Source organism: Homo sapiens, chromosome 2, assembly GCF_000001405.40.
Source record: "Homo sapiens chromosome 2, GRCh38.p14 Primary Assembly".
NCBI lineage: Eukaryota > Metazoa > Chordata > Mammalia > Primates > Hominidae > Homo > Homo sapiens.
In genome coordinates this window covers 170,967,838-170,989,655 of record NC_000002.12, presented here as the reverse complement: position 1 = coordinate 170,989,655, position 21,818 = coordinate 170,967,838, and the positions used below count along the sequence as shown (strand labels likewise).

The 21,818-nt window shown below is 47.4% G+C and overlaps 1 long non-coding RNA gene across 2 annotated transcripts, besides 5 other annotated features; it reads right to left on the bottom strand.

Annotated features, from left to right (window-relative positions):
- Positions 4,867-5,367: an enhancer, noted in NCBI's record as "OCT4-NANOG-H3K4me1 hESC enhancer chr2:171840799-171841299 (GRCh37/hg19 assembly coordinates)". NCBI's record gives its function as "activates a minimal SCP1, AML or CMV promoter by ChIP-STARR-seq in primed H9 embryonic stem cells {active_cell/tissue: H9 hESC(primed)}" and the evidence as "EXISTENCE:reporter gene assay evidence [ECO:0000049][PMID:30033119]".
- Positions 5,368-5,868: an enhancer, noted in NCBI's record as "OCT4-NANOG-H3K4me1 hESC enhancer chr2:171840298-171840798 (GRCh37/hg19 assembly coordinates)". NCBI's record gives its function as "activates a minimal SCP1, AML or CMV promoter by ChIP-STARR-seq in primed H9 embryonic stem cells {active_cell/tissue: H9 hESC(primed)}" and the evidence as "EXISTENCE:reporter gene assay evidence [ECO:0000049][PMID:30033119]".
- Positions 11,615-12,171: an enhancer, noted in NCBI's record as "OCT4-NANOG hESC enhancer chr2:171833995-171834551 (GRCh37/hg19 assembly coordinates)". NCBI's record gives its function as "activates a minimal SCP1, AML or CMV promoter by ChIP-STARR-seq in naive and primed H9 embryonic stem cells {active_cell/tissue: H9 hESC(naive and primed)}" and the evidence as "EXISTENCE:reporter gene assay evidence [ECO:0000049][PMID:30033119]".
- Positions 15,481-15,730: a silencer, noted in NCBI's record as "silent region_12096". NCBI's record gives its function as "represses an Ori minimal core promoter by ATAC-STARR-seq in GM12878 lymphoblastoid cells {active_cell/tissue: GM12878}" and the evidence as "EXISTENCE:reporter gene assay evidence [ECO:0000049][PMID:35858748]".
- Positions 15,871-16,180: a silencer, noted in NCBI's record as "silent region_12095". NCBI's record gives its function as "represses an Ori minimal core promoter by ATAC-STARR-seq in GM12878 lymphoblastoid cells {active_cell/tissue: GM12878}" and the evidence as "EXISTENCE:reporter gene assay evidence [ECO:0000049][PMID:35858748]".
- Positions 16,135-21,745, bottom strand: LOC124906091 (uncharacterized). 2 transcript variants are annotated; one of them, XR_007087293.1, is made up of 3 exons: positions 20,193-21,745; positions 19,597-19,717; positions 16,135-16,688 (listed from the first exon to the last, which is right to left on the bottom strand). It is a non-coding gene; the product is annotated as an uncharacterized LOC124906091 (long non-coding RNA). The 2 variants fall into 2 exon arrangements; XR_007087294.1 differs by having other exon boundaries at positions 20,492-20,789.
- Positions 21,746-21,818: the final 73 nt, after the last annotated feature.

Below are 21,818 nucleotides of genomic sequence, written 5' to 3'. Positions count from 1 at the left end.
TGGGCCTCGTAAAGTGCTGGGATTACAGGTGTGAGCCACAGTGCCTGGCCCATATGACTGTTTTAAGAAGGGCAATAAAATAGGTTAAGATATCAATTTTTTTGAACCAGAGTTTTTGGATTAAAATGTTGACTAACATTTACTACCTGTGTTTCTGGTTCCTCATCTGAAAATTAGGGTACAACTACCCATCATGCAGAGTGGCTGCAAGGAATGAATAAGTGAATTCACATATGTAACGCACTCAACCTTTACTTATATGCCCAGCTCATAAGTAGGTACTGTATATAATAAGCTGCTATTGTCATCATCCCTTTTTAAAACTCAAAAGATTATTCTATTAGCCCTATTTATAAAATTCAGTCTGCTTTGCTTCCTGTGGTAATTTTAATTATTTTAAGAAACACTTTCACAGTGCTTGACTCAGGTTTCAAACAAGTGATGATTAGATTGTCTGGAAATGGAAGGTGAGGAAATGTAGCAATTTGAAACAAAAAGTAGTAGCTGTGTGTGTGAACTAATTGCCAAAAGGATCATGCCCTATTGATGCTGTTTCATCACAGATATCTGTCATATTTTCCACAGTTTCCTTGCTAGTAACAACTGATTGAGGTAGGACAGATGACAGTATCCGTGTTCTACAAAGGAGGAAACAGATTTGGAGTGGGGGAATAACTTGGTAAAGCCACATAACTGGTAAGCACAGCTTTTGGAGTCGTGGAGCAAGGTTTTTAACTATGTTAACATCTTGGTATATAGTAAACATGGCGTAGTGAGTTAAATCTCATCATGACTCTTCAAAGGTGACAGCCAAATAGCTACAGACATTATTGTCATCTTTTTAAAAGCAAATCTAAAGATTTTTTTTTTTTTTTTTTTTGAAACAGGGTCTCTCTGAAACCCTGTTTTTTTGAAACACCCCTCTCTGAAACAGGGTCACTCAGGCTGGAGTGCAGTGGTGCAGCCTCAGCTCACTGCAGCCTTGACCTCCCGGGCTCAAGCAATCCTCCCACCTCAGCCTCTCAAGTAGCTGGGGCTACAGGTGCATGCCACCATACCCGGCTACTTTTTTTGTATTTTTTGCAGGGGCTCACCATGTTGTCCAGGCTGGTCTCGAACTGGGCCAAGTGATCCACCCACTTCAGTCTCCCAAAGTGCTAGAATTACAGATGTGACCCACATCACGCCTGACCTAAGAATTTTTCAAGTGTTAGATGAAGAATGCCATCTGAGCTGAGTCTTGTTGGCTGTGAGTCACTAGAGAGCAGAGCCCTGCCACAGACCCATTCTAGGTAAGAGGGAGAGTGGGCTGCACCTTTTTCTGTTCTTACATCTTTTTCCCTTGCCTTTTTAAGTCAAAGATCAGGTCCATCGATGAGCTACCCCACCCCATTCTACCTGTCTTACAGAAAGCACCTCATGGAGGTCTTCCTCTGCCCACTGTCACAGGCACAGAAAGTACTCCTGGTTCCTCTCCCCGCAGTGGTACCAGTTGCTCTTTTTTTTTTTTTTTTAAATGCTGGGTGCAGTGGCTCATGCCTGTAATCCCAGCACTTTGGGAGGCTGAGGCGGGTGGATCACCAGAGGTCAGGAGTTTCAGACCAGCCTGACCACCATGCAGAAACCCTGTCTCTACTAAAAATACAAAATTAGCCAGGTGTGGTGGCACATGCCTGTAGTCCCAGCTACTCAGGAGGCTGAGGCAGGAGAAACGCTTGAACCCAGGAGGCAGAGGTTACGGTGAGCCGAGATTGTACCATTGCACTCCAGCCTGGGCAACAAGAGCAAAACTCCATCCCCCCCGCCAAAAAAAAGTTTAAAACTGACTCTAGTAAGTCAGTAACTCCTCTAAAGGAAGCCCTGGAACTTTGGAGAGATTTCACTAATTACCAATTCACCAATATATAGCCCCTGAACATTGTATCTCGAAGTCTTCTAAATCTGATAAATTACGTATGTGTGGTGTTCTACCACCAAGATCACAAATGGGTACTTCTGATTGCATCAAGTGACTCTACTGGGGTTTAAAATTGCTGTATGTAATTATGTTTAAGATTCTCTGTGTGATCCATTTTCACCTGAAGGACCTTAGATTGTTCCCAAAACTATATGCCTTGGGCCAAACAGTATATGTGCATGACCAGCATCCCACCTGTTCTTGATTGGGTGTGTGGTATGTCACAGGGGTACTAAGGTCTTATTTCCATTATATGACAGACATCAAACTCAGATACTAAAATTACCTGATCCAAAGAATGAGCATGGCTGATTTGTTACTAATATTAGCCATGTTTTTGGTGTTTCAAATGATCTTACGTCATATTGCATCCTAAGAGCATCTCTTTATGTCCACTACTTGCCAAATTCATAGCTTCCTTTTAAGGAGATATTTAGAAGGATGAAAGTGGAAGAAAGCATGGGTTTGGAAGTCTGACCTGGCTTTGCCTCCCAGCTTTGTTACTTAATAGCATATGACCTTACAGAAATCACTAACCTTTCTGGGGTCTTATTTTCCTTGTCTGTAAACTATTTCTAATAGCACCTGCCTCATGGGAACCTAGCATCAAGAGTGGGGTTCAGAAGTTTTCCCAGCTGATAATGGCATGGGCTGCGACAAAATGGAACAAATGCCACAAATGCAGAAGACAAGATTCAAGAGGCCCCTATCAGGGTCATTATGTGTTTTGTATTTTTTTGGGGGGTGGGCCTGAGAATGGTTGGGAGATGTGAGGAGGAGTTGCTCAGGAGACCTGGCGCAGTCTCCTACCTACTGGCTTGGAAGTTTTCTGTATTTAACCCATATCTGTGCCTAACTGCTTAGTCTGAGCCCTGCATGCCGCCTTGACGGTGGCACGCTCTTCACTGCCTTCTTTTCCCACTCCAGTACAAACAGCTATTGTGGAAGTGTGTGCGTCCACCGAGGGGGAACAGGACCGCTGCAGGTTGGAGTCCCAACTGGTCTGTGTTTTCATCACTTTTGGGATGCTGTTTAGATCTCAAGAGTGGTTATGTTGAAACCACTATGAAAATTAACACTATTGTGGTTTCTGAACTAATATAACAAAATTTATTGATATTTCACTTTGACAATGAATTTTAACTTCATTAGTAGGAATGAATGAATATATATATATATATATATTTTTTTTTTTTTTTTTTAAGATGGAGTTTCGCTGGAGTGCAATGGCATGATCTCAGCTCACTGCAACCTCCGCCCCCTGGGTTCAAGTGATTCTCCTGCCTCAGCCTCCCAAGTAGCTGGGATTACAGATATGCGCCACCACGTCCAGCTAATTTTTGTATTTTTAGTAGAGATTGGGGTTTCACCATCTTGGCCAGGCTGGTCTTGAACTTCTGACCTCGTGATCCACTCACTTCGGCCTCCCAAAGTGCTGGGATTACAGGTGTGAGCCACTGCATCCGGCCATAGTAGAAATATTTTTAAAGTTTAATTTCTGTGAGCTTCCTTCCCAGAAGTAAAGACGTGTGTATACAGCTTTTAGTGAAAAAGCTTTAAAAGAAATTCAGCTTGAAAGAATGAGATCATGCATTATTCTAGATGCAGAATTAGCCATATACCAACAAAGTTTGTGTAAGATGAGAAACTTTAAGTACACTTAAGCAACATGAGTAGGGTTATTTGTCGTATGTCGATAGCATTTTAGTATTCAAACATACCCTTACATTTGACTAAAACAATATGTGCTTTGTAGTTTGGGGGAACGAAATAACCTTTAGGGGACTGAAGCTATGCTAAAGTGCAGTTTAAGATGTTTCTTTGCTGATTTTTAAAAAATTACACAATAAGGAAAGTAGTAACCCTTAATTGTAAATTGGCATATTTGTGACCAAGACTTAGAAAAAGTGATAGACTTTCCAGTGGCAGATATGGAAGATATTCATTCCACTAATGACCATGGAAATTGCTTAAGCCAAGTTTCATGTTCTGCAGCAAGGGTCCCCAAACCCCAAGCCACAGACTGGTACTGGTCTGTGGCTTGTTAGCAAACTGGCTGCACAGCAAGAGGTGATGGGCTGTTGAGTAAGCATTACTGCCTGAGCATCATCGCCTGTCAGATCAGAGGCGGCATTAGGGTCTCAGGAGCACAAACCCTACTGTGAACTGCTCATTCAAGGGATCGAAGGCTGGGCGCTCCTTATAAGAATCTAATGCCTGATGATCTGAGGTGGAACAGTTTCATCCTGAAACCATGCCCTCAACTCCCATCCGAGGAAAAACTGTCTTCCACAAATTGTCTTCCATGAAACCAGTCCCTGGCACCACAAAGGTTGGGGACCGCTGTTCCACCACGGAAATTCATTGTATAAAGTTTACTCCTCCCCACATCTCTGTAAAAAACTATATTCAGAGATAAAATTTGGAAAAGCAGAGTTCTCACTGCCACGTTAGTTAGAAGAACAACATTCCCCCATTTATTGGCCTGGCACTGCAAAATAAAAGTGGCAAAGTGACTTGTTTTGAACTTGTAATATAAACACTTCAAAAAGCTCCTCTCACAAATCAACCATCTTGGCACTAGAACTGTTTCCTTCATTGGGTCACTGAGTTGAATAAGATCATGTTGGAAACATTGACAGCTGTAGTAGTTTGCCATTACCACACAATTTAAAATTAAAGCCTGATCCTGGTCTCTACAAGAAATATACGTAGGTTACAATTACTCTTCCGGCCTGGGCGAGGTGGCTCACGTGCCTGCAATCCCAGCACTTTGGAAGGCTGGTGGGAGGATCGCTTGAGCCCAGGAGTTTAACACCAGCCTGGGCAATATAGGGAGACTGTGTCTCTACAAAAAATGACTATTCTGTGTCCGTTTACCCTTTTCTGATAGACTAATATTGTACCATATACAAGTTATTTAATAAATTTTAGTAAATACTGTTTAATTGACAAAAAGCCAAACATGGGAACTTTCTCTCCACGTACCTTTCTCAGCTACTTCCCTAGACTGCATCATGAACGTGTTGTTAGGTGTTCTTGTTTCATTGTTTTTTCCAAAACTATGAAATCTTCATGGTCCCTGCCCCCCCGCACCCCACATCTTAGTGTGAAATGAAAACAGGATAAGCTATAGTAACAAATTAACCCCCCCAAAAGGTTTGTTTCTCAATTATGCAAAATCCACACTGAGCTTGGTAACTCCTAGGCAACTTTACAAGACAGCTCTCTTCTCCAGGTGGTGGCTGGGGCATCCAGGCTGCTTGCATCTTATGGTTCTAGTCACATCAATCTGTAGTTACAGGAGAGGAAGGCAGGAAAGGAGGGGACATCCTAGTTCTTAAATGCCTTGGACCAGAAGTATTGTCTTTCCTTGCTAGAATTGAGTCGTGGCCTCAAATCAGCTGCACAGGAGGTACTATATCTCTGTCACCATCAAGAATTTGCATGACAATCCAGGTTTACATGTAACCTGCTTGTACCTTTTAAAGGGAATCTCCACTTCAAATACATACATATCTAGTCTGTGATTCATGACTTTTGCCAGATTTTGGGAGCTGTGTGGAGCAGGAACCTGAAGAGCTTAGCTGAAAACCTCTCATCAGTAGGAATCCACTGAGGTAGTTACAGATACCTGAGGCTCAGATGGGAAGCCCTGGAGGACCATACCCAAGAATAGGAGCAAACCAGCTCAACGCCATGCCCTCTGCCTGGTGGTTCATTGTGATTGGTTTATTGTGTAGATATTGAAGAAAAAGAGAATATTTTAGGTTGACATTTTTAAGCCAAAAAAAAAAAAAAAAGATTCTAGAAAAAAGCCAGGATTATTTTAGACCCAGTTAATTATTTGAGATTCTCTTCCAACAACTCTACCATAGACTTTGACTTGGAATTACAAAGATGGAGAAAATAAACATTTCACTTGAGCAGGGGTTTGTGTTTGTTTAAGGAAAGAGTAATAAGGACAATTTGTCGAGCACTTATGGTATACCAGTCACTGTAACCTACATTTCCTAGAATCCCCAAAAACAGCCCTATGATTATGCCATTTTGTAGGTGGAAGAGGGGAGGGGTGCATTGGAGACAGATTAAGTTGTTTGCTCAAATAGTGAAGTAGCAGGGATGGGATTTAACTCGAGACTGGCTGACTCCAAAACTCAACTGGATTAAACATCACTAATTCTATAATCCATCAACATCTTTTAAAAAATAAAAGTAACAAAGTGAGGCTTAATAAGTTTTAAATGTCAAATTTTCTTACAATGTTCTTGTGTTTTGAGAGTCTGAAATCCCCAACCCACTATTCAGAAACTGTCAGGCCTCTGAGCCCAAGCTATGCCATCATATCCCCGGTGACCTGCATGTACACATCCAGATGGCTGGTTCCAGCCTTAACTGATGACATTCCACCACAAAAGAAGTGAAAATGGCCTGTTCCTGCCTTTACTGATGACATTGTCTTGTGAAATTCCTTCTCCTGGCTCATCCTGGCTCAAAAGCTCCCCCACTGAGTACCTTGTGACCCCCCACTCCTGCCCGCCAGAGAACAACCCCCCTTTTTCCTTTACCTACCCAAATCCTATAAAACGGCCCCACCCCTATCTCCCTTCGCTGACTCTCTTTTCGGACTCAGCCCACCTGCACCCAGGTGATTAAACGCTTTATTGCTCACACAAAGCCTGTTTGGTGGTCTCTTCACACGGACGCGAATGAAATTTGGTGCCATGACTCGGATCAGGGTACCTCCCTTGGGAGATCAATCCCCTGTCCTCCTGCTCTTTGCTCTGTGAGAAAGATCCACCTACGACCTCAGGTCCTCAGACCGACCAGCCCAAGAAACACCTCACCAATTTCAAATCGAGTAAGCAGTCTCTTTTTACTGTCTTCTCCAACCTCTCTCACTATCCCTCAACCTCTTTCTCCTTTCAATCTTGGCACCACACTTCAATCTCTCCCTTCTCTTAATTTCAATTCCTTTCATTTTCTGGTAGCGACAAAGGAGACACGTTTTATCCATGAACCCAAACTCCAGCGTCGGTCACGGACTGGGAAGGCAGGCTTTCCTTGGTGTTTAATCATTGCAGGGACACCTGTCTGATTATTCACCCACGTTTCAGAGGTGTCAGACCATGCAAGGATGCCTGCCTTGGTCCTTCACCCTTAGCGGCAAGTCCCGCTTTTCTGGGGGAGGAGCAAGTACCCCAACCCCTTCTCTCCGTGTCTCTACCCCTTCTCTGCTTTTCTGGGGGAGAGGCAAGAACCCCTCAACCCCTTCTCCCTCACCCTTAGCAGCAAGTCCCACTTTTCTAAGGGGCAAGAACCCCCAATCCCTTATTTCCATGCCCCGACCTCTTATCTCTGTGCCCCAATCCCTTATTTCTGCACCCTGACCTCTTATTTCTGTGCCCCATCCCTTATTTCCACACCCCGACCTCTTATCTCTGCGCCCCAACCCCTTATTTCCATGCCCCGACCCCTTTCACGCTTTTCTGGAAGTTAAGAACCCCCGAACCCCTTTCCTCCGTGTCTCTACTCTCTCTTTTCTCTAGGCTTGCCTCCTTCACTACGGGCAACATTCCACCCTCCATTCCTCTGTCTCCCTTCGCCTGTGCTCTCAAGAACTTAAAACCTCTTCAACTCACGCTGGACCTAAAACCTAAATGTCTTATTTTCTTCTGCAATGCTGCTTGACCGCAATACAAACTTGACAGTAGTTCCAAATAGCCAGAAAACGGCACTTTCAATTTTTCCATCCTGCAAGATCTAAATAATTCTTGTCGTAAAATAGGCAAACGGTCTGAGCTGCCTGATATCCAGGCATTCTTTTACACATCAGTCCCTCCCTAGTCTGTGCCCAATGCAACTCACCCCAAATCTTCCTTCTTTCCCTCCCGCCTGTCCCCTCAGTCCCAACCCGAAGTGTCGCTGAGTCTTTCTAATCTTCCTTTTCTACAGACCCATCTGACCTCTCCCCTCCTCCCCAGGCTGCTCCTCACCAGGCCAAGCTAGGTCCCAATTCTTCCTCAGCCTCTGCTCCTCCACCCTATAATCCTTTTATCACCTCCCCTCCTCACACCGGGTCCGGCTTACAGTTTCGTTCCATGACTAGCCCTCCCCCACCTGCCCAGCAATTTACTCTTAAAAAGGTGGCTGGAGCTAAAGGCATAGTCAAGGTTAATGCTCCTTTTTCTTTATCCCAAATCAGATAGCGTTTAGGCTCTTTTTCATCAAATATAAGAACCCAGCCCAGTTCATGGCTCGTTTGGCAGCAACCCTGAGACACTTTACAGCCCTAGCCCCTAAAAGGTCAAAAGGCCATCTTATTCTCAATATGCATTTTATTACCCAATCTGCTCCTGACATTAAATAAAACTCCAAAAATTAAATTCCAGCCCTCAAACTCCACAACAGGACTTAATTAACCTCGCCTTCAAGGTGTACAATAATAGAGGCAGCCAAATAGCAACATATTTCTGAGTTGCAATTCCTTGCCTCCACTGTGAGACAAACCCCAGCCACATCTCCAGCACACAAGAACTTCCCAACGCCTAAACCGCAGTGGCCAGGCATTCCTCCAGGCCCGCCTCCCCCAGAAGCTTGCTACAAGTGCCAGAAATCTGGCCACCAGGTCAAGGAATGCCCACAGCCCAGAATTCCTCCTAAGCCGTGTCCCATCTGTGCAGGACCCCACTGGAAATCAGACTGTTCAACTCACCTGGCAGCCACTCTCAGAGCCCCTGGAACTCTGGCCGAAGGCTCTCTGACTCCTTCCCAGATCTTCTTGGCTTAGCGGCTGAAGACTGACGCTGCCCGATCGCCTCGGAAGCCCCATAGACCATCACGGACGCCGAACTTTAAGTAACTTTCACAGTGGAGGCTAAGTCCGTCCCCTTCTTAATCAATACGGAGGCTACCCACTCCACATTGCCTTCTTTTCAAGGGCCTGTTTCCCTTGCCTCCATAACTGTTGTGGGTATTGACGGCCAGGCTTCTAAACCTCTTAAAACTCCCCAACTCTGTTACCAACTTAGACAATACTCTTTTAAGCACTCCTTTTAGTTATCCCCACCTGCCCAGTTCCCTTATTAGGCTGAGACACTTTAACTAAATTATCTGCTTCCCTGACTATTCCTGGACTACAGCTACATCTCATTGCCGCCCTTCTTCCCAATCCAAAGCCTCCTTTGCGTCCTCCTCTTGTATTCCCCCACCTTAACCGACAAGTATAAGATCTCTACTCCCTCCTTGGCGACTGATCATGCACCCCTTACCATCTCATTAAAACCTAATCACCCTTACCCCACTCAATGCCAATATCCCATCCCGCAGCATGCTTTGAAAGGATTAAAGCCTGTTATCACTCGCCTGCTACAGCATGGCCTTTTAAAGCCTACAAACTCTCCTTACAATTCCCCCATTTTACCTGTCCTAAAACCAGACAAGCCTTACAGGTTAGTTCAGGATCTATGCCTTATCAACCAAATTGTTTTGCCTGTCCACCCCACGGTGCCAAACCCATATACTCTCCTATCCTCAATACCTCCCTCCACAATCCATTATTCTGTTCTGGATCTCAAACATGCTTTCTTTACTATTCCTTTGCACCCGTCATCCCAGCCTCTCTTCGCTTTCACTTGGCCTGACCCTGACACCCATCAGGCTCAGTAAATTACCTGGGCTGTACTGCCGCAAAGCTTCACAGACAGCCCCCATTACTTCAGTCAAGCCCAAATTTCTTCCTTATCTGTTACCTATCTCAGCATAATTCTCATAAAAACACACATGCTCTCCCTGCCGATCGTGTCCAACTAATCTCTCACACCCCAACCCCTTCTACAAAACTACAACTCCTTTCCTTCCTAGGCATGGTTAGATACTTTCACCTTTAGATACCTGGTTTTGCCATCCTAACAAAACCATTATATAAACTCACAAAAGGAAACCTAGCTGACCCCATAGATCCTAAATCCTTTCCCCACTCCTCTTTTCATTCCTTGAAGACAGCTTTAGACACTGCCCCCACTCTAGCTCTCCCTGACTCGTCCCAATCCTTTTCATTACACACGGCTGAAGTGCAGGGTTGTGCAGTCGGAATTCTTACACAAGGACCGGGATCACGTCCTGTAGCCTTTTTGTCCAAACAACTTGACCTTACTGTTTTAGGCTGGCCATTATGTTTCCGTGCAGTGGCTGCTGCCACCCTAATACTTTTAGAGGCCCTTAAAAATCACAAACTATGCTCAACTCACTCTCTACAGCTCTCATAATTTCCAAAATCTATTTTCTTCCTCACACCTGACACATATACTTTCTGCTCCCCGGCTCCTTCAGCTGTACTCACTCTTTGTTGAGTCTCCCACAATTACCATTGTTCCTGGCCCGGACTTCAATCCCGCCTCCCACATTATTCCTGCTGATACCACACCTGACCCTCATGACTGCATCTCTCTGATCCACCTGACGTTCACCCCATTTCCCCACATTTCCTTCTTCCCTGTTTCTCACCCTGATCACACTTATTCATGGCAGTTCCACCAGGCCTAATACCCACACACCAGCAAAGGCAGGATATGCTATAGTACAAGCCACTAGCCCGCCTCTTAGAACCTCTCATTTCCTTTCTATCATAGAAATCTATCCTCAAGGAAATAACTTCTCAGTGTTCCATCTGCTATTCTACTACTCCTCAAGGATTATTCAGGCCCCCTCCCTTCCCTACACAGCAAGCTCAAGGGTTTGCCCCCCCGCCCAGGACTGGCAAATTAGCTTTACTCCACATGCCCCGAGTCACAAAAACTAAAATACCTCTTAGTCGAAGTAGACACTTTCACTAGATAGGGAGAGGCCTTTCCTACAGGGTCTGAGAAGGCCACCACAGTCATTTCTTCCCTTCTGTCAGACATAATTCCTCAGTTTAGCCTTCCCACCTCTATACAGTCTGATAACAGACCAGCCTTTATTAGTCAAATCAGCCAAGCAGTTTTTCAAGCTCTTAGTATTCAGTGAAACCTTTATATCCCTTACAGTCCTCAGTCTTCAAGAAAAGTAGAACAGACTAAAGGTCTTTTAAAAACACACCTCACCAAGCTCAGCCACCACCTTAAAAAGGAATAGACAATACTTTTACCACTTTCCCTTCTCAGAATTCAGGCCTGTCCTCAGAATGCTACAAAGTACAGCCCATTTAAGCTCCCGTATAGATGCTCCTTTTTATTAGGCCCCAGTCTCATTCCAGACACCAGACCCACTTGGACTGTGCCCCAAAAAACTTGTCTTCCCTACTGTCTTCTGTCTAGTCATACTCCTATTCACCATTCTCAACTACTCATACATGCCCTGCTCTTGTTTACACTGCCAGTTTACACTGTTTCTCCAAGCCATCATAGCTGATATCTCCTGGTGCTATCCCCAAACCGCCACTCTTAACTCTTAAAGTAAATAAATAATCTTTGCTGGCAGGGCTATGCGGAACCTCCTTGGGCACTCTCTAATTAGATGTCCTGGGTCCTCCCAATTCTTAGACCTTTAATACCTGTTTTTCTCCTTCTCTTATTCCGTTTAGTTTTTCAGTTCATACAAAACCGTATCCAGGCCATCACCAATAATTCTACACGACAAATGTTTCTTCTAACAACCCCACAATATCACCCCTTACCACAAAATCTTCCTTCAGCTTAATCTCTCCCACTCTAGGTTCCCACACCGCCCCTAATCCCGCTCGAAGCAGCCCTGAGATACATTGCCCATTATCTCTCCATGCCACCCCCCAAAAATTGTCACCGTCCCAACACTTTACCACTATTTCGTTTTATTTTTCTCATTAATATAAGAAGACAGGAATGTCAGGCCTCTGAGCCCAAGCTAAGCCATCATATCCCCTGTGACCTGCACGTACACATCCAGATGGCCGGTTCCTGCCTTAACTGATGACATTCCACCACAAAAGAAGTGAAAATGGCCTGTTCCTGCCTTAACTGATGACATTGTCTAGTGAAATTCCTTCTCCTGGCTCATCCTGGCTCAAAAGCTCCCCCACTGAGTACCTTGTGACCCCCCACTCCTGCCCGCCAGAGAACAACCCCCTTTTTCCCTTTACCTACCCAAATCCTATAAAATGGCCCCACCCCTATCTCCCTTCACGGACTCTCTTTTCGGACTCAGCCCACCTGCACCCAGGTGATTAAAGGCTTTATTGCTCACACAAAGCCTGTTTGGTGGTCTCTTCACACGGACGCGCATAAAAGAAACCTTTGAAGTGACCAAAGTAATGGCAGGGGAGAGTATTCGGTCAATTCATGGTGCAGTATCTTATCTTTTTTTTTTTTTGAGACGGAGTCTCACTCTGTGTCTCCCAGGCTGGAGTGCAGTGACACCATCTCAGCTCACTGCAACCTCCACCTCCCAGATTCAAGTGATCCTCCTGCCTCAGCTTCCCAAGTAGCTGGGATTACAGGTCGGCACCACCACGCCTGGCCAATTTTTTTGTATTTTTAGTAGAGATGAGGTTTTGCCATGTTGGTTGGCCCGGCCCATGGTGCAATATCTAATAAATTACATTTAACTTCCATGGGTCATGTCTGATACAGCTTTTTGAGATTTTAAAGTTATTTAATGAGCTATTTAATTTTCTTAACAGAAAAACAATTGTATTGGGGAATTTTGAAAAGTTTTTTGCTTAAACACTGGATCCAAGACCCACCTGGGGAAAAATATAAATAGTGTTCTCTGGTTCTGAGTGAAGTCTGTAAATGTAGTCAGGGTGCAAGACAGCTCTGTTCTTCCCCACACCCGCCTTTTTTTTTTTTTTTTTTTTTTGGAGATGGAGTTTCACTCTTGTTGCCCAGATTGGAGTGCAGTGGCGTGATCTCGGCTCACTGCAACGTCTGCCTCCCGGGTTCAAGAGATTCTCCTGTCTCAGCCTCCCGAGTTGCTGGGATTAAAGGCACATGCCACCACGCCCGGCTAATTTTTGTATTTTTAGTAGAGACGGGGTTTCATCATATTGGTCAGGCTCGTCTTGAACTCCTGACCTCAGGTGATCCGCCCACCTCGGCCTCCCAAAGTGCTGGGATTACAGGCGTGAGCCACCGCGTCCGGCCGACAGCTCTGTTCTTTAAGGATCAAATGATATATGTGTGTGTATGTATGTATGTATATATATTTTTTCTTTTTTTTTTTTGAGACAGGGTCTCACTCTGTCACCCAGGCTGGAGTTCAGTGGTGCAAGCACAGCTCACTGCAGCCTCAACTTCCTGGGCTCAAGCAATCCTCCCAGCTCAGCCTTCTAAGTACTACAGGCTCAAACCGCCACATCCAGCTGATTTTGTTCATTTTTTGTAGAGACGGAGATCTCACTATGTTGCTCAGGCTGGTCTCCAACCCCTGGGCTCAAGTGATTCTCCCAAAATGCTGTGATTACAGGCATAAGCCACCACACCCAGCCTAAATTTGTATCTTTTAAACAACTTCGTGGGTTTTTTAAAACAACTTTGTGGTTTTGGATGGCAAATTCAAGAATACAAAGCCTCGGACCTGGGTGTCAGAGGCAGAGTAGCCCTTGCCTTTCGGTCACACTGACCCATGCACAGCATACCTCCAGAGATAGCCCATGCCCCCCAGGGGGCGGTGGGAAATGGTTTGAAACCTCTTCCCCTCCCCACCCTGCTCCATTCTGTAACTTCCTCCCAGGAAGGCAGGCCCCTCCCCACTCAAATCCCTGTCCAGGGTCCAGGGTCCAGAGAAGGGAGTGGCCCAGGCAGAGAACCCCAGTGAGTGCCCACCACATGCCAGGCACTGACTGCCACCCCTTCGACTCTAACCTAGCACCCAGCACATGGAGCTACACTCATCGCCTGTGCCTTTGTGCGGCATATGGTGAGTGCCTGCTGGGAGCTAGGTGCTGGAGAGGACTTTAAGTCAGACTTTGTCCACGACACCAAGGCTTGAAGACAGGTATAACCCCTGAGGCCACCTCCCCTCCTCACAGGTCGCATTGTAGCACTTTCTCACCCTAGTTGTCCACTTTGCCTCTGCTGCTCTGCCAGTCTGCAGGGGCAGAAGGATGCCCGTGCCCAGGAAGAATGCTGAAGCCAGGTGCATGGCCCCTGCAGTGGTGGAAGCTCCCCCAGTAGCGAGCGGCCATTTGACTAGGCTGAATCGAGTTGACTTCACAACCGAGGTCTGATCACTGACTACACCATCTCCTTGTTGGGAAAAACAAACAAACAAAAAAACCCCCACAAACCACTGCTATTTTAAATTGTGATCAAAATGAAGATACTAAAAGCCCTGGGGGCTGGGTTCTGAGAATCCCCCACGAGTCCCCCGAGGACCTTGCACCCAGGTCCTCCATGCAGCCCTGCAGTTGCAGCCTGGTCTGTTTCTGCTCCACCGGCCCCGCCCCACACCTGCCCGGGTCTCAGGCTTGCTGAAAGAATCCCTGGATCCGATTTCCACCTGGGTACTAGGTATAGACCCAGCTCTACCACCCCCTAGCCGTATGCTTGTTGGAGAGACATTTAACCTTTCTGGATTTCACTGTTTTCATCTATAAAATGAAGGAATTGAGAGGGAGGATCTCCACAATGCTGTCCCTGATCCATAGGCAACAGTGTTTTTCAAAGCCACCAGGGTTGAGAAGTGCTGGTCCATGGTTGCTTTTCCGAGCTCAGGATTGAAAGAGTCCTTTGGCTAAAGAGCTGAAGAAGAAAGAGGATGCTCTCACCCTATTCAGCTTTTGGTTCTTCCCAGTCTGCTACAAGACCAGGGAAAATGTGAGTTACTCCTCCAGCCACAACTACAGCAGGCAGGTGGAGGGTGGGGGATGACATGTGGCACAGCACTTTGCTGGACTTTAGTGTTTGGGGATAATGGACTCCTGAGATTTCTCCCACGCCATCCGGCTGGGATGACTATGGCTCCTTTCTCAGGGATGCCCCGCCTTTCCCTCCTGCTCACAGGGAAACTGCCGGCAGCTCCACACTGGCCTGGCTTTTGAATCTATGTGCCATATGATTTTTTTTTTCTTTCACGAAAGGCCCCTGCTTGCCAAAAAGGAGGTTTTTCAGACCACTGACCTATGTAAGGGGCAAGCTCCCTGGGTACTTCACTGCCAAGAACAAAAAACATCCATCCCCCTTATAAACTCCCCAGGGCAGTGCAGTCTAAGCCCCTGAGCATGGCATTCAAGGCCTTCGGCGATCTGGCCCCGCTCCCCCTTCTGTGGCAACTGCTACCACTCCATACTTGACTTTTCACATTCCAGCAACCAGAGCTGTTTGTAGTTCCGGGACACACCACGTGCCACATTCCTGTGTGTCCTTGCAGACGCTGTTCCCTCTGCCTAAGAGAACCTCTTCCTTCCACTTTGACCACCTAAGAGAACCTCTATGCATTCTTCAAAGCCCTAATAGTAGCTGCCCACGAACGCCTTCCTTGATCCCGCACATGTTAGTTACCCGGCCTCTGGGCTATTCTGTCCCCTCTGCTCATCACTAGATCCGAAATCGCTAATTTACAGGCAGCGCAGTGGGATGCTTTTGGATTCGGGACACCTGGGCCCAGACCCAGCCGCCCCACCCCGGCGCCCCGGGCTTGTGCACAGCAGGAGCCTCCGCCCCGCGGGTGTGGGTTGGACGAGGCCAAGGGCAGCGGCCGGCCAGGGGCCAGGCCAGAGTCCAGCACTGCCCTCGGAGGAAGCCGGGTGGGGGCGGCGCTCCTGAAGGCTCCAGCCCCGGGGAGGGAAGCCGGCCCCGCACCTCCCGCACTGGGCGCTCAGACCCCTGGTGCTTCCACGGCGTCTGAGGGTTTCTCAGCCACCGAAGGGTGTCTCCGCCGCACCCAACGGGTCCCCCGGTGGAGAGATTTGCCTTCACATCAGATTAAAGGGGGTTCCGTTTGGTGAAGGCGCCCAGGCTCATCCCCCACGTTTCCGCACTGGGTCTGAGATGGAAAGAAAGCGGGGGACCAGAGCCCTTCTTCCAAAGAACGGAAAGCGCCCCACCGCGACGCCCCGGCCCCGCCCAGGGGCCCTGCGAGGGCGGCCCGGAGACCCCGCGGCCGCTGGCGGGGCGCGGCTTTCCCAGGCTCCCGGCGCCACCTGGTGGCCCGTGGCGCGCACTGTAGTCCCCGCTCGGGAGGCCCCCTTGGCTCGGATCCCACTCCACGTGGGCGGCGGTAAGACCGGAGTTCCTGAACAAAGGTGAATGTCGTTCCAGGAACCTGCCGCGTGGGGACAGAACTGAGGCGTGGGACCGGGCAGACCTACGTGGATTCAGCTCCTACCCCAAAGCCCGCCCGCCTGTGAAGCAGGGGCCTCGGTTTGAGCTCTCCAGGCGCACCTGCTTCCCCTGAGGGAATTAACTCAAGAACTCACCCATCACTTCTCTTTAAAACCATTCCCTTTTTTCACTGAAGTTAATTCGTAAAATTAGCCATATCCAATGCAACTATTATTTTTTCCCCAATACGTGCTAAAATAAAATATATAGGTATTAAAGGAGGAAAGACAGTTTTCTTCACTCTGGGTAACACCAGTCCATGGGATCAAGTTCAGAACCTAAGCCTGTCCTGAGGCCTGCCCGGTGGCTCGTCCCTGCTTCTTCTGTCTCCTTCCGATTCAGCCACAGCGAACCCTCACCTGTCCTCTCCTGGAATATGGCAGCGTCACGGTGCCAAAGATCCCAGAGGGTTGTCCTCTTTTCTCAGGTTGTACTGCTTACCTAAGAGAGATCTGAATTTGGGGAAATGAATTAGTCTCTAAAGTTTCATGCCCTTTAAAAACAAAACCTTGACAGAGACAAAGGCAAGTAACTGTTTATTAAAATCGGAATGAGCTTTGAGCTCCTGGACTCATACAACAGGCATCTGTTTCTTCTTGATTTTATGAGGCTCCTCTAGCAGTTCTGTTCCTCACCACCGAGAAGCACACAGGTTGTTTAGCCACTGATCTCGAGTGAACGTGTTGGAACCATGCATACTTCACTACCTGACGCTAACACTGTTTCCAGAGCTCTAGAAGCCAAAACAGCGCCTGGGTACAACATGGATTCTTGCCATTGTGTTTCTGGGCTCTTTCAGCATAGCTGTCTGAGCTACACGGTTCTGGCCAAACTGATTTACAAACACAACACAGCATTGCAAATCAGTCACAGTGCAAGTCTATTCAGGGAAATTTCATGGATAATTCTAATCTAGGGACAGTGTTGGGGGTTGTTAGCAGAGAGCTCCCTTAGTCTGACCAGTCATGACGCTGCTTGGGGAAAAAGCTTCCCCGGCCCTGCAGCAGCGGCCGTCCTGGACAGACTGAAATGAAAGGCTTCAGAAGAGATGGAACAAGGTTTTTTTTTTTTTTTTTTTTTGAGACAGAGACTCGCTCTGTCGCCAGGCTGGAGTACGGTGGCATGATGTCGGCTCACTGCAACCTCCGCCTCCCAGGTTCAAGCCATTCTCCTGCCTCAGCCTCCCAAGTAGCTGGGACTACAGGCACCTGCCACCACGCCCAATTTTTGTATTTTTAGTAGACGGGGTTTCACCATGTTGACCAGGATGGTCTCGATCTCCCGACCTCGTGATCCGCCTGCCTCGGCCTCCCAAAGTGCTGGGACTCCAGGCGTGAGCCACCGCGCCTGGCCCGGAACAGGGCTTTTTCTGGCTCTGTAAGTCTCCCATTCATCCACACCCCCTAGATCAAAATAACCCCATTGTTGTTAGTGATTAAAAAGTAATTCAGGCCGGGTGCGGTGGCTCACGCCTGTAACCCCAGCACTTTGGGAGGCCAAAGCGGATGGATCACGAGGTCAGGAGATCGGGACCATCCTGGCTCACACGATGAAACCCCCGTCTCTACTAAAAATACAAAAAATTAGACGGGCGTGGTGGCGGGCGCCTGTAGTCCCAGCTACTTGGGAGGCTGAGGCAGGAGAATGGCGTCAAGCCAGCAGGCAGCGCTTGCAGTGAGCAGAGATAGTGCCACTGTACTCCAGCCTGGGCGACAGAGCGAGACTCCGTCTCAAAAAAAACACAAACAAACAAACAAAAAAAAGCAATTCGAAGCCTGGCGCGGTGGCTCACGCCTGTAATGCCAGCACTTTGGGAGGCCGAGGCAGGTGAATCACCTGAGGTCAGGGGTTCAAGACCAGCTTGACCAGCATGGTGAAACCCCATCTCTACTAAAAATACAAAAATGAGCCGGGCGTGGTGGCACATGCCTGTAAGCCCAGCTACTCAGGAGGCTGAGACAGGAGAATTGCTTGAACCTGGGAGGTTGCAGTGAGCCGAGATTGCGCCACTCCACTCCAGCCTGGGTGACAGAGCAAGACTCCATCTCAAAAAAAAAAAAAAGTAAAATAAAATAATAAAAAGTAATTGTGGTTTTAAAAATTCTGGCAATATGCAAGTTTATGAGAAGAAATGAGAAGTTCCTGTAACCCCACCCCCAGCCACCATAATTCAAGTGCTTCTGGAAGAGGCTTGCCCTGAACCTCAGGCAGACTTCTTAGTATGGGTCTCAAACCAGGCCAGCCTGGGCAGAGCTGGGCAAACAGGCCCCTCCCCAGGAAGCAAGGCCATGGAGAGTGGACGGCAAGAAAGCCAGTCAGGGATTCATGAACTCTTATTCACAACCCTTGGTCTCTGGAAAAGAGAATGATCAATTCCAATAGAGTTGGTTGTTAAGGTAAATGATCAATGGGTTGGGGACCCAGAATATGGCTTTAGGAAAAGAGACTAGTGAAACTCAAATTGCTGTTACTGTCCCAGTCATTGTCCAGGGACATTTTCTCCATCAGGTTTACAGTCTAAGCAACTACTTCAAATTTTGCTAACCTTAGTGCCCATTCCACACGATTCATTGGATCCTAAATAATGAAATCCGTGAAGGACCTTGTTTCCTAATCCTGGGTCCCCACGGGTTCTGGCCCCGCTGACTGTAAGGAAACCTCAGTTTCCCAGCTATCCCTCCCCTCTCCCCAGACTCAGCTGTGTTACTACCAGGATAACACAGGGCTCTGCAAACTCAGACACCTGCGGGTGGTGGGAGGGGGGCTGGCGCACGCAGGTGGGGCTGTGGGAATTGGAGACTGGAGGACAGAGACTCCAAGGGGCATTCATTTCCCTGTAGGACTGATCTGTTGCCAGATCTTGTGACTTTGAGAAACCAGAAATCTGGATTTATGTGAAACCTTCTGATTTTTAAATGTTGGCAATTAATTCACATTTTAATATATACAGGGGAGTTCAAAGGAAACATGCCTAGGGGGAACCTGTTTGCTTCCTCTCGTCTGCTGGGCAGAGCACTGTCTTATCTCATTATTCACCCCATGTACAGGAAACACTTAATACATGCTGGCTACTGTTATTATCCCAAACCCCAGCGGCCTTCATGGAGCATGGGCTTGTATCTATTTCTTGCCAGGAAATACAGTGTAACCTCAACTCTGGTAACACTGAAAGTCCGAGGCCCACCTCCATCAATGGCTGCAGTGTGGCGTTTTCTCTAAACTGTCAGTGACCAGAGTACCCACGTTCGTGTAACTCCCTGGAGAGGCAGTGGGGCGGCATCTGCACCTGTCTGCACTCCTTACTCCTCTGCTCTTTTGCTGCACATTCTCACTCTCCTCACCCCTCCCCATCCCCCTCACCTGCAGCCCCCAGCTGGGAGTGGGGCCCACTTGCCCTTCCACGTCTTCTTGTTCTAGTGCTTGAATAACTGGCTGTGGCATTAATTCCCCATTTTATCAATTGGCTCGATATGCAAAAGGCCTATAAAGGAACACTTTGGTTAGCCAAGTCGGAAATTGTTCTTCCTAGATCTAATGCAAATATATATATATATATATATATATATATATATATATATATAAATGACAAAAGGATCCCTCCTCTAACCTGTGCACTTTGCTTAGTGGTAAAAGTAAACACCTAGCAAGAACGATGACCTTCCTATGCCCCTGTTACCTCCCGCAGTTACAGGTCCACCCTCCCTGGGGAAGTTTTTAAAAACTCCAAGAGCCCAGGAATTAATATTCTAATTGAGGCGATTCTAATCTGAAGACAGGGTTGAAACCTTGCTGGGTAGTCAGATAATTAAAGAAGACCTTCATCTTCAGGGTCACAGGGAGAAGACCCAACCTTCCTTCACAAGTTACTGATAAAATCGGGCCACTCTCTGGAAGAAAAAACTTTTCACAAATAAATCCTTTAAATAAGATGTATTAAATTTTCTAATAAAATGCACCTGTAGCCAACTGCTGCTGGAGGCTTTAACACCCATGGCTTTCCTACTGTGAGCTCCCTTAGGGCTCCTGCTTGGATTTTTTTAACTCCTTCTCCACCTGCTAAAATGTAGGTCTGGCTAAGCCTTCTTCAGGTGCCAGAGAATGTTCCCTTCACCCAGACTCTCCAGGTCTCTGCTCAGCTGAGACTCTTCACTTGCTGCAGTTTGCATGAAGTTGCCTCATGTTCCCGCCTAAACCACAGGTTCCTTAAAGGTGGGATCAGGGCTTCCATGTCACTACCGTAGCTCCAGCAGCTCACCAGTCTCATCTTCACTATAGTCAAAAGCAGAAATTTTGGACATCCAAGGCAGAGCCATCTTTGAGCTTTAGTAGGTGCCTTTCAGGTGAGGAAGAGGCCACAAGGCCATTTCTAGGTCTCCAGAATTTTCAGAAAATGAGCTAAGTTAAGCTGCTCCCAGGTAAGCACAATTAGTAATGGACTAAAAATAAAACAGGAACAAAAATCAGAGGGGAAAAGGTAAAGTCACTGATATGGTTTGGCTGTGTCCCACCCAAATCTCTTCCTGTAGTTCCCATAATCCCCACGTGTGGAGGAAGGGATCCGGTGGGAAGTGATTGGAGTATGGAGGTGGTTTCCCCACTGCTGTTCTCGTGAGAGTGAGTTCTCACGAGATCTGATGGTTTCCTAAGCCTCTGGCATTTCCCCTGCTTGCGCTTCTCTTCTGCTGCCATGATTGTAAGTTTCCTGAGGCCTGCCCAGCCACGTGAAACTGTCAATTAAACCTCTTTCCTTTATAAAATTACCCAGTCTTGGGTATTTCTTTATAGCAGTGTCAGAACAGAGTAACACAGTCGTCATCCTAGACTCAGAGTCTTAGCAAAGGGGGTTCAGGTGAGCGTCCCTCCTGAAGCTGGTCCCCCACTGTGCTGCCCCTCCAGCCTTCATGACTGCCGTATTTAAGCCAAAGCTCAAACTCCCTAGTCCAGCACACAGGCCCCAGCCCCATGCACACAAACACTCAAGACTTTTCCTAACCTTGCATGGTTTCCTCACAGTTCACTGCAGCCTTGACTTCCTGCGCTCAAGGGATCCTCCCACCTCAGCCTCCTGAGTAGCTGGGACTCCAGGCACGTGCCACCACGCCCAGCTAATTTTTAAATTTTTTGTAGAGACAGGGTCTATGTTGCCCAGGCTGGTCTTCAACTCCTGGGCTCAAGCAATCCTTCTGCCTTGGCCCTAAGGACTGACTCCCTGGTCTGTCTCCCTACAAGGCCACGGAGAGTGGCCCACTGTCAGGGAAACTCTCTCTTACATCGTGTTTCTGGAACCTGGTACCAAATCTACCACTGTTAAAGACTGAAACTGGCTTTTCTGAAGACAGCAGAAAATAATGAAGTATTTTCCACCTCAGGGAAGATCCAACGAGCCAATCTAGCCTGAGTCTGTGTCCATTCGTCGAGTGTCGAGTCCCTCACTGTCATGGTGGCACACACCTGTGGTCCCAGCTACGTGGAATGCTGAGGTGGGGGTATCGCTTGAGCCCAGGAGGCCAAGGCTGCAGTGAGCCAAGATCAAGCCACTGCACTCCAGCCAGGGTGACAGAACGAGACCCTGTTTCCAAAAA